The sequence below is a fragment of the Homo sapiens genome, chromosome 21 (genome assembly GCF_000001405.40).
Source record: "Homo sapiens chromosome 21, GRCh38.p14 Primary Assembly".
NCBI lineage: Eukaryota > Metazoa > Chordata > Mammalia > Primates > Hominidae > Homo > Homo sapiens.
Window position 1 is genome coordinate 5,499,013 of NC_000021.9, and position 11,335 is coordinate 5,510,347.

At 44.3% G+C, this 11,335-nt stretch overlaps 2 long non-coding RNA genes across 2 annotated transcripts; one reads left to right on the forward strand and one right to left on the reverse strand.

Moving 5' to 3' along the window:
• Positions 1 to 10: 10 nt before the first annotated feature.
• Positions 11 to 3,563, reverse strand: LINC01670 (long intergenic non-protein coding RNA 1670). The gene is made up of 3 exons (XR_951086.3): positions 3,357 to 3,563; positions 987 to 1,089; positions 11 to 797 (listed from the first exon to the last, which is right to left on the reverse strand). It is a non-coding gene; the product is annotated as a long intergenic non-protein coding RNA 1670 (long non-coding RNA).
• A 4,396-nt stretch (positions 3,564 to 7,959) lies between these two features.
• LOC105379488 (uncharacterized) lies at positions 7,960 to 10,709 on the forward strand. Its single transcript, XR_951088.3, has 4 exons — positions 7,960 to 7,988; positions 9,639 to 9,752; positions 10,368 to 10,524; positions 10,612 to 10,709. It is a non-coding gene; the product is annotated as an uncharacterized LOC105379488 (long non-coding RNA).
• Positions 10,710 to 11,335: the final 626 nt, after the last annotated feature.

An 11,335-nucleotide genomic window follows, 5' to 3' on the forward strand; every position in this document is an offset into this window, starting at 1 on the left:
GATCTCCTGACCTCGTGATCCACCCACCTTGGCCTCCCAAAGTGCTGGGATTACAGGCATGAGCCACCGTGCCGGGCTGAAAAATAACCCTTTAGATATCTACAGCTTTAAACTGTGTGCAGTCATGAAAAGCAGACATTAGAAGTCATTGGCATTTAATAAATTGCAGTAAAATTATACAGTAAATACATTACAATCATTAATAATAGGCTTTAATGAGAAGAATTTAATAAATAATCATTAAAAAGACAGCAGAATTTTATTCTGTTCTCAATATGTTGCTGCTCTTCTTATCAAATACTATAATAAAACTATATGACTATAATATAGATTTCAGGAGCTAAAAAAAGCCTTATATTTTCAAATAAAAGAACAATATAAATTTTGCAAAATACAATGAGCATTACTGAAGTATAAAGTAAATATTTGGAATTAAAATATATGGTCATTTAGATACAGACTAAAAAAGAATAGAAATCTTAATGATTCCTTTCTGCCTACAGTGAGCTTAAAATTACAACCAAAAATTTTAATAAATATGTAGCACCTACAAGAAATTTTATTAACAGCTTACATAATGTGTAAATTTGAGCAATTTATTTTAGAACTTTTGAATCTGAAAATCACCTGCTTGACATTCATTTGAGAAAGTGAAACATAAAGGAGAGTAACATAAGCAAGACGACAGAATGGGAGGTTCTGCATCCACATCCCCCACGACATAATGCAGCTGCCACAGCAAACATAAGTGCATTCATGAAAGCCTTGGAATCCAGTTCAGAGTTTGTGACACCCAGCTGGAGGCAAAGACCAAGGAAGACATCTTTAGAGGGTAAGCACTTGACCAAGTGGCAAGCTTGCCAATCATGGTCCTCGCTTCAAAACAGAATACTGCCACATCTTACTGTAGACTTGGCTATAACTCATTTGACCTTGGTCCTGACACTGCAACAGTCTGTGGAAAACACAAGAGAATTCATACTCACCTGAGACTTAGATGACAGGCCTGCAGAACTTGGTTCTCTCTATAGTCCCTGAATCAGGCAAAACACACCTTCTTTCCTTCTCCAGCCATGGTCTGGAAGAAATCTTCACATTGATATGATGAAATGCTAACTAACAATATGAAAAATACTAAAGTATAAATGTCACTAAAATGGTAAATACATACTGAATTTCAGAATACTATAAATTGTTATCATCTTAAACTAGACTATTAAAATACAAGATGTTTTACATAAGTCTCATGATAACCAGTAGGAAAAAAAAATAGTAAAGAAAAAGAGAAAGTAATTAAAGCATACACAAACAACAAAAATTACACATTGGATATGGTGTCTCCTGCTTATAATTCCAACACTTTGGGAGGCCAAGGTGGAAGAATCAAATCTCCTTGGGTGTTGTGGTACATGTCTGCAGTCCAAGCTACTTGGGTGGCTAAGGTGGGACGATTATTTGAGCCCAGGAGGTTAAGGCTACAGTGAGCTGTGATATGCCACTGCACTTCAGTCTGAGCAAGAAAGCATAACTTTGTCTCAACAAAAATGAACAATACCACAGGAAAGACAGAACCAGAAAAAAAAGAAGCAAACTTAAAATGGACAGAAAACTACAAATGTACAATAGTAACTGCTTACCTATCACTACCTTACAAATAAAAAGATTAAAGTATCTACTAAACAGATACTGCTGTACACTGAATGTCATCTCCAAAATTTAGGATAAAATTTAATAGCCAACATGTTAGAATTAACAGGTGGAACCTTTAAAAATTAATTAAGCTATAAGCACTCTGCCCTCATGAATGGATTAACGTTCTTATTATGGGAATGGGCTAATTATAACAAGAATGGATCTGTTATATATTAAAAAAAAAAAGCTCTCTCTCCCTCACATCTTTGTGTATGTTATTATCCAGCAACTAGACCTTCAACATATACCAGTATAATGTTGTTTTGGCTTCCCAGCCTCCAGAATCATGAGTCAAATAAAATTCTATTCTTTATTAATTACCAGTGTGTGATATTCTGTTATAGCAGCCAAAAGAGACTAAAGCAGACAGAGTGGATAAATTAATCTTTTAAACCTCATAATATGCTGCTTACAAGAGACTCAATTATGAATTAAGAGCATAGGCTAAAAGTGAAAGGATAGAAAATGATATTCCATGCAAATAATAACCAAAGGAGTGAAATGGTAATGCTTAAATTAGACAAAATAGACTTTCTAGCAATGTCTCTCACAAGAATGAAATGAGTTTACCATACAATAATAGAGGTTAATTTCTCAAGAGAATATAGCTTTATATATTTATGCACCCAAAAGGGAGGCTTCTAAATATAAAAAGCAAATATTGCCAGAACTGTAGGGAGAAGTAGAAAGAAACCCAATAATAGAAAACTTTAACGAAATGTATAATAAAGGACATATAGTTAACAGCATTGTAAATTGGCAAGGGAAAGCTGGTCTCATGTGTTGCGTTTGAGAATGCAGCAAAGAAAGTGGGAACTGATAATTTTACTGCAAGCCTGAGTTAGGATGAAAAACAGGGTGGTCGATTAGAGGTTCCACTTGCCATACATTAAAAAAACACAGGAGAAAACCAGTCCTCCTCTGGAGTGTTAAAATAATTAAAGATCAGAAAATTAGTCTAAAGTGGCTCTAGTGCCCTGTGTTCATAGGTAAAAAACAAAAAACAAACAAAAAAAAATCTAAAACCTAACTCAAATATATTTCCTATAAAACACTATCTTAGCCTGAAGCAAAATGCAGGTTTAACCCATGACAAACATGCAATTAACCTCTGAATATGTAACCAGGACATTTCCATCTGGATAGTTCAAATAAGGCTACCATATAACTGGAACCAATTCTTGAATTTGGGTTGCTTTCTCATGCATCTTATGAAAGCCTTTCCTTTATGCCCCTCTGGTGGACCAGAAATCATGGCTGGGTGCTTTCCATTTCACCAATCACTCTTTGTTCAGATAAACTGATGAACCTTTTAACATAGACTCCCGTTAATTTTTAACACGAGAGACTGTGGACCCCACGGGCCGCAGCTCCTCCCACGCAAACACCCACTCGCGGTTTTTCCCTGATGACCCATCTGGCCTCCCTGAACAATTTGGGAAATACTCATGGCTGTGGGCGCAGAGCAGGGCGCTGCCCAGGGACAGGACCGGATGGGCCGGACGGGACGTGGGGGTCCTCGCTGCTGGCCCAGCGGCCATCTTGCAGCCACAGGGGACTGAGGGCCAAGCTGCGGGAGACTCGGAGCTAACCGTGGGGAGGCCGGTCCTGCCGGTTTCACAGTCTGTTCTCCCCTCTCGGGATGGCGAACCCCGTATACTCACCATTTCCCAGCTTCCAGGATGTCCTGGCACCTTAACTATGCGTCCCCAAGGACCTACAGATCGCAGGGCAACAGGGGCTGTGACAGAGTAGCCCAGGGCTCTCAAGGTGCAGGAGGCGAAAGAGGAGACAGATCCCAAGCTCCTGTGCCAGCACCAGCGAGAGACACAGATCCCGCCAAATGCAGGAAGCCACGCCCTCCTTTCCTCTCCTCTGCCACCGCGCGCCTGATTGGGCGGTTCCCACATCAGTGTCAATGACTGGATAAAACTCCAGGACGCACCCACCCTCGCCTGACTCCTGCCCTTACCCCCACTCCCCCTCAGACTTAGTGCACTTTTGTTAGTTTGTTTTTAAGTTCTGGAATACATGTGCAGAACGTGCAGGTTTGTTACATAGTTTTACATGTGCCATGGTGGTTTGCTGCACCTATCAACCTGCCATCTAGGTTTTAAGCCCCATATGCATTAGGTATTTGTCCTAATTTTCTCCCTCCCCTTGACCTCAACCCCTTAACAGGCCTTAGTGTGTGATCTTTGGCTCCAGGTGTCCATGTGTTCTCATTTTTCAACTCCCACATATGAGTGAGAACATATGGTGTTTGCTTTCCTGTTCCCGTGTTAGTTTGCTGAGGTTAATGGTTCCCAGCTTCATCCACGTCCCTGCAAAGGACATGAACTCATTCTTTTTATGGCTGCATATTATTTCATGGTGTATATGTGCCACATTTTCTTTTTCCAATCTATCAATGATGGGCATTAGGGTTGGTTCCAAGTCTTTGCTATTGCAAACAGTGGTGCAATAGACATATGAGTGCATGTGTCTTTATGCTAGAATGATTTATATTCCTTTGGGTATATACCCAGTAATGAGATTGCTGGATCAAATGGTATTTCTGGTTCTAGATCCTTGAGGAATCACCACACTGTCTTCCATAATGGTTGAACTAATTTACACTCCCTCCAGCAGTGTAAAAGTGTTTCTATTCCTCCACAGCCTCACCAGCATCTGTTGTTTCCTAACTTTTTAATAACTGCCATTCAACATGGTGTGAGAAGGTATCCCATTGTGGTTTTGATTTGCATTTCTCTAGTCTCCAGTGATGATGAGCTTTTCTCTTTTTTGTGTTTGTTGACCACATAAAGGTCCCCTTCTTCTTCTTCTTCTTCTTCTTCTTCTTCTTCTTCTTCTTCTTCTTCTTCTTCTTCTTCTTCTTTTCTTCTTCTTCTTCTTCTTCTTCTTCTTCTTCTCCTTCTCCTTCTTCTTTTTCTATTTATTTTACTTATTATTATTATTTTTAAGATGGAGTCTTGCTCTGTCACCCAGGCTGGAGTGCAGTGGAAGGATCTCGGCTCACTGCAACATCTGCCACCCAGGTTCAAGTGATTCTCCTGCCTTAGCCTCCCCAGAAGCTGGGATTACAGGTCACCCGCCAACACATCCTACTAATTTTTTGTGTTTTTAGTAGAAATGCGGTGTCGCCATGCGGCCCAGGCTGGTCTTGAACACCTGACCTCATGATCCACCTGCCTCCACGGCTGAAAGTGCTGGGATTACAGACTTGATCAACCGCGCCCAGCCAAATATCTTCTTTTGAAAAGAGTCTGTTTATATTCTGTGCCCACTTTTTGATGGTTTTTTTTTGTGTGTGTGTGAATTTGTTTAAGTTCTTTGTAGATTCTGGATATTAGACCTCTGACACATGGATAGAGTGCAAAAATTTTCTTTCACTCTGTAGGTTGCCTGGTCACTCTGGTGATAGCTTCTTTTGCTGTGCAGAAGCTCGTTAGTTTAGTTAGATCTCATTTGTCAATTTTAGCTTTTGTTGTGATTGCTTTTGGTATTTTATTCATGAAGTCTTTGCTCATGCCTATGTCCTGAATGGTATTGCCTAGGTTTTCTTCTAGGGTTTTTATGGTTTGGTGTTTTACATTTAAGACTTTAATCCATCTTAAGATAATGTTTGCATAAGGTGTAAGGAAGGGGTACAATTTCTGTTTTCTGAATGTGGCTAGCCAGTTCTTTCAGCACCATTTGGTAAGTAGGAAATCTTTCCCCATTGCTTGTTTTTGTCAGGTTTGTCGGAGATCAGATGGTTGTAGATGTGTGATGTTATTTCTGAGGCCTCTGTTCTGTTCCATTTGTCTATATATCTGTTTTGGTATCAGTACTGTGCTGTTTTGGTTACTGTAGCCTTGTAGTATAGTTTGAAGTCGGGTAGCAGGATGCCTCAAGCTTTGTTGTTTTTGCTTAGGATTGTTTTGGGTTGACAGGCAAACAGGCTCCTATATTTGGGGTCACGTGCCCAGAGTATCACAGCTAATTCAGACGTGAGCTGAGACTTGAAATGCACGTGCTCTTTCCCTTACCTGGGTCTGTTGTATAATGCATCTTAGCAGCTATGTAACAGTACGAATTAGAATATTTAGACATCTTTTTAGCAACTTTTTAACCTGCATTTTTGTAACGCGGTAAAGACCTTCATCCCATCCCTGAGCCCCTCTCTCACAACACTGCACCCCACTGCTGACCACACTGTTGTGTGACCATTAGGAATCAGGGGGGCAGCGGGGGCTGGAAATAAATAAGAAAGGATTATGTTTCCCAAATTTGCTCACCTTAGAAAGTCTCCTCAACCATTCTGTGTGAGGTGATTTTTCCAAGGTAATTGTGCCCTGACTGCGCTGGATGTCAGTGTGTCTTGTCTTTTTGAAAATCACTGGATTACTCTCATGAACGGGGTATTTCTCTTTCTATTTGAAAATGGTCAACTGTCCTCTGCAGGTGTCCTGACTTGCTAGTTTAGACCCTGAAGGTAGCGGTGAGAAAATATTTGGGCCACATCAGAATACCTATTCTCAGCTGGAGGATATATAGAAATTTCTTAATAATATCTAACCATTTTCTCAATAACCATTATATTTAACATTGATAGCTTGGAGGGCAGGGAAGGACACAGATGACACAATCTTCAAAGTTTAATTTAGTTATAAGGTTTTTTTTTTGTTCTTGCTTAGTTTTGCTTAGTTTTTGGATACAAGGTCTTGCTCTGGTGCCCAGGCTGGAGGGCAGTGGCATAATGATAACTCATAATTTGGTTGTAACGGTTCTTTAAAATATATTTTTGCTGAGAGTGCTAGCTCATACCTGTAATCTAAACACTTTGGGTGGCCAAGGTGGGATGATCGCTTGATCCCAGGAGTTCAAGACGAGTCTGAGCAACATAAGTAGGCTCAGTCTCTAGAAAAATATTTAAAAATTGTCTGGGTGTAGCTTTGCATGCCTGTAGTCCCAGCTACTTGAGAGGCTGATTTGAAAGCATCACTGGAGCCTAAGAATTTGAAGATGCAGTGACCCATGATTCAGCCACTGCATTGACAGAGTGAGATATGTGTGTGTCTGTCTGTGTGTGTGTATAAAGAATTTGTATGTGAAAAAAATTCAAGCACAGGAGAAAAGTGAAAGCCCATGGTGGGGGATGTGGAGAAAGGTCACTGTGGCTCCAGCAACTCAGTGAGACTTGGTTTTCCATCTTGAAGAATTGCCCATCCACACTGACACCATAGCCTAACATATGCCAGTTCTCACACTACACCTGCTGGGATACCAGTATGTAGCCTTTTGAAAAAAATAAAATCTTTCACCTAAGAGAAGGACAAGAGAAAACGAGGGTTTCACATCTAAAGCCTTCATTTTCTTTATGAATCAACAGCCACTTGTCATTTCAATTGTCCAGAGGCGACTGACAGCACTAATACACTTAATGAATCAACCAGGAAAAATGGGCCTCTCAGGTGAGGAGGAGGCACAATCGTCACAAAACCCAATCCGTTCTCAGCTTTGCATGGTGCTCGCATCTCAAGAAGTGGTGTTAGCCATGTGAACCGTGTTCACTGGACAAGGCCAGAGGAAAGAATATGTAGTACAACACAACTATGGGGCTGCAAATCAAACTGGTAGTGAGAGCATGCATGAGGCTTCAGTGGCCGAGACACTGGTGGCTACCCTTCGGTGTCACTTAAATCTTTGAGGTGAAGGACATCTTTTTCCCAACTGGCTCAGAGAAACTAATCAACATTAAAATTGAGATTTGTTTTTCTTTTCAAAATTTCTAAGACATAGAGGACTCTCTAACACTCCAAAAGACATTCAGCTATACATGCAGCTGAGGACCTGCCTGCTCTGTAGAGGGATGGCAGAGCAGCAGCCACCAGCTTTAGTAGCTTTAAGCTCCTCTTCTCATAGGAACAGGCCACCCCCACACAACCCCCCTAACTTCATAGGCTCTGGCTGTCAGGTGCACCTGGGGGACTGTCTTCCTCCCATCTCATTAGCTCTCGAAGACAGTTCAGCTCAATGTAAAACCTACCTTAGGATGGTGAGTTGTAGGCTCTCCTCTATTCTCCCAGCGCAGTGTGACTTCTGGAGAGTGCTTCTCCATCCTCTTACCTCAGATGATGTGAAAAGAGCCGGTTCCCGGGCAGTTAGATGTTCAGTGACATAACAGGCCCAGCATGCGCAGGGCCTGGCCCCACAACCTGGCACCTCTCCCTTACCTGGCCTTCAGGCTGGACTTTTCTCTTCTGCCACAAATGTCAGGTGATGATCACCTCTGCCACACTCTCATGAGCTTGGTAAGTATCAGGGGTGTAAACCCCAACAGATTTCCTGTGACTCTACCCTCTTACCACCCACTCAAGTGACATTATAAGCATAATTTTACATTTGATATTATTTATGCGTAATTTTTTTTATAACATTTCTGACAACAGCCCACACAACGAAATGAGTCTGGGTTACAGAACACACGGGCGAGGCTGGGGTAGCAGGCTTCAATTACTTTATTCCAATGTGAAATGAAGATTGATGATTTAAAAACAAGACAAAGTTGTTTATCAGCTGTGGGGTGGCTACACTTGCTAGCTCATGCTCACTTTCTTTGAAACAAGGTATCTGTACAGACCATACTCATAAGTAGCTCTTCACAAAACCCCAGACAGAAGTCCCAGTCAGACACAGCTCCCTCAGGCTCACAGGGCAGCAACCTCCTCCTCCATGTTAGGCTCTGACAGCAGGCAAGGGAAGAAGCACAGGCAGCAGGGGACAGGGAGATGTCCCGGACTGTAGGGATCCCCAAATGCCCCAGAGCTATTATCTGTAGAAGGGTGCACGCAGGTCTCACTCTGACAGTGCAGTGGCTGAATCATGGGTCACTGCAGCCTCAAACTCTTAGCCTCCAGTGATGCTTTCACCTCAGCCTCTCAAGTAGCTGTATGGCAAAAAGCCTCCTATTTTTTTACTTAAAACCTGGACTTCAAGCCAGGTTGGACCTGGGGATAGTGGCAGCAAAAGCAGCAGCCAAATGTATACACTCCAGATGTCTACACTCATGGGCACAGGCATATTCCACTCTTGCTGGAGCACGAGAGGCCTGAGAGGCACCTGTTTCCCAGTTGCTAACTGATGCCCACACACCCCATTCACGTGTCTTCATTTAGGTCTCTGCATCGTGTATTCCCTCAGCCAGTGCAAACACATCTTCTGGGGGGCATCATTAATTGCAGCACCTGCCCCTCTTGTTCTGGGAGGGAGTCAAGAGGAATCTGGTCAGCTCCTAATCCCCCAGGACAAAGGTGCTGCCCCCTTTTCAGCACTCACATCCAGCAATGCCATCTCTGGATGGGTTTTTCAAACACAAGTAGCATGAGGTAGCAAGCATGGTGTGACAGGCTCAGGGCCATGGGCAGCCGGTTGCTGGAGAAGCAGCACAGGGCAGGCACATCTGTGGGTGGCACCATGACAAGCCAAGGCAGCCACAGCCCCTAATCCCAACAGCTCCAGCCCAGTTGGCATTCAAATCTTCCCAGATAGTATTGGGGTACGCGATGCCCATCACTCGCCCGCTCATTAGCACGGCCTTGTTGGTTACTCAGAGACTAAGGAGAGAGAGTGGGGGATGTAGATCCAGGGTGGGCACCGCCTTGCAGCCAGAGTCCACCTGACTGCAGGCCAGCAAGCAAGCCCAAGCAGCTCAGCTCTAGTCACCTCTGGCTGTACTTTATGTGTATACTTTACACAAAGGTAGCAAACAGAGGTCAACATTAGCTGTTGTGACATGAAAGTCTATGCCTCATTAAGACCTTAAAATGCTGTTGTCTTAAGCTCTCTTTATTCCACTAAAATTTATACAAATAAACACATGCAAGCTGAAACTACTATAAAGGAAATATTAGGATTTTTTAAACCCATAAACAGACATGAAAACAGTCACTGTTTGATTGCAGAGAAAGTGAGCTTCTAAAGCAGCTGACCACAAAACAGCCTCACCAAACCCCAGGCAGGCCAGGCAGTCTGAACACTACAAGGCCACGTGATGGTCACAGAGGATGACAGCTCCCGTGAGTATTGCAAGGCACTGTGTTAGCTTCTCACTCACAGTCTCAGAATACCCTGTGAGGGGAGGCCCCGTCTCACTAGAGCACAGGAGGTTCCTGAGCTCTTCCCAGAAAATGGTCATCAAACGATGGAGCAGAGGGAAGCCCAGACAGAACAAGTGAGTCCCTAGGGTCTCCTTAACCTCCCTCAGCTCCTCCACATGGGTCCCTGAGGGAAAGTGAGCAGCCTCCTAACCCCCTTGATAGGGTTCCAGTCCTGCAGGTCGGACTCTCTCATTTTATGCTACCATAGGGGGTGACAATGCAACCCCAGGCCCCTTATTTGCCATCCCTCAATGCCAGGCCAGGCCCAGAGCCCTTTGCTAACACAGCCCAGGGGATGCTCAAGGCCCACCTCGGCACAGTCACCTGTAGTGTACTGAGATGAGCAAGGAGGTGCAAGTAGACACAAATCCCCATGGGCTTGGCCTCAGCCATGTTCCACAGGCTCAGGGCCTCGCAGATGAGCTCACAGCCCTCCTTCAGGAAGCCTGCAGATCACACCCTCAGGGAGCAGTGCTCAGATGAGCAGGCAGGCCCCACATCCCCCACCCCATGACGCTCTGTTCCACTTTGCAGGCTTCTGCATTGGCCAGTCCCCACTGCTTTCTGGTGAGATGTCCGAGTTGAAGTGAATGTTGAAGGCCACACAGCTGATGGAGCTCACTGCCTTGCACATGTTGTAAATCACCTCCTGGCTTCAAGGGTCAGCTGTGGAGACACAGCTTGATGGGAGGTAGGCCCACTCCACCATCAGTGGTGCTGGGTTGCCCTGATCTGCACCTTCCAGATACTTGCTAAGATATCTGCATGCTTCTCTAAGGGACTGGGTCACGAGACACCCCTGGCAAGGACCAGCTGGCAGAACAGGCTGGACACTCTCCCTCAGCCTCCCCAGCAGCCCCACCTGTGCTGTCATCTGTGCTGATGATCTCCGTGGTAAGATTATGGGAAACTTTTACAGCAAGTTTTCCTTTCTCACTTCCCTATCTTAATAACAGCACTGATAACTTTTAAGCCCTAGCAAGCTGAAACTGCAAGACACATGATCTTCTGCCTTAGAAGGGCCATGTTTGGGCAGTGGGTGCCCAGGTGAGAGCCCCATGGTTGTTAGTGGCAGCCGGGAGCTGGATGGGCCTGCCCCATAGCCTAGTGAAAAGTGGGACCCTCTCCTTCCAGAGCATGGAAGTCTCAGAGGCTGGAAAAAGGTGCCTAAGTGGCCTGCCAAAAAGCATAAGGCTAGAAGGCCTGGAAAGAGCCCCAACAGCCTTCAAGCTGCCTGAGAGGGCTGGGCTCATTCCAGCTTTCTTTGCTTTCATCCTGTTAGCAAGAAAACCTGCTCACAGATGGCAGGCGGGCCTGAGGCTGCCATTCCCTCATCAGGGGCTATAGGCACCTTTAATGTGGCTCTTTCTTGAAGCAGCTGCTCAGGCCGGTTCTCGAAGAGCAGTTCCCTCATTATCCACAGGTCCTTCTTCCAGCCCCGTGTCTGCAGAGGGACTAGGGAGGGAGACAAGGGCTCAGCCTGTGCCCCACAACCTGCTTTG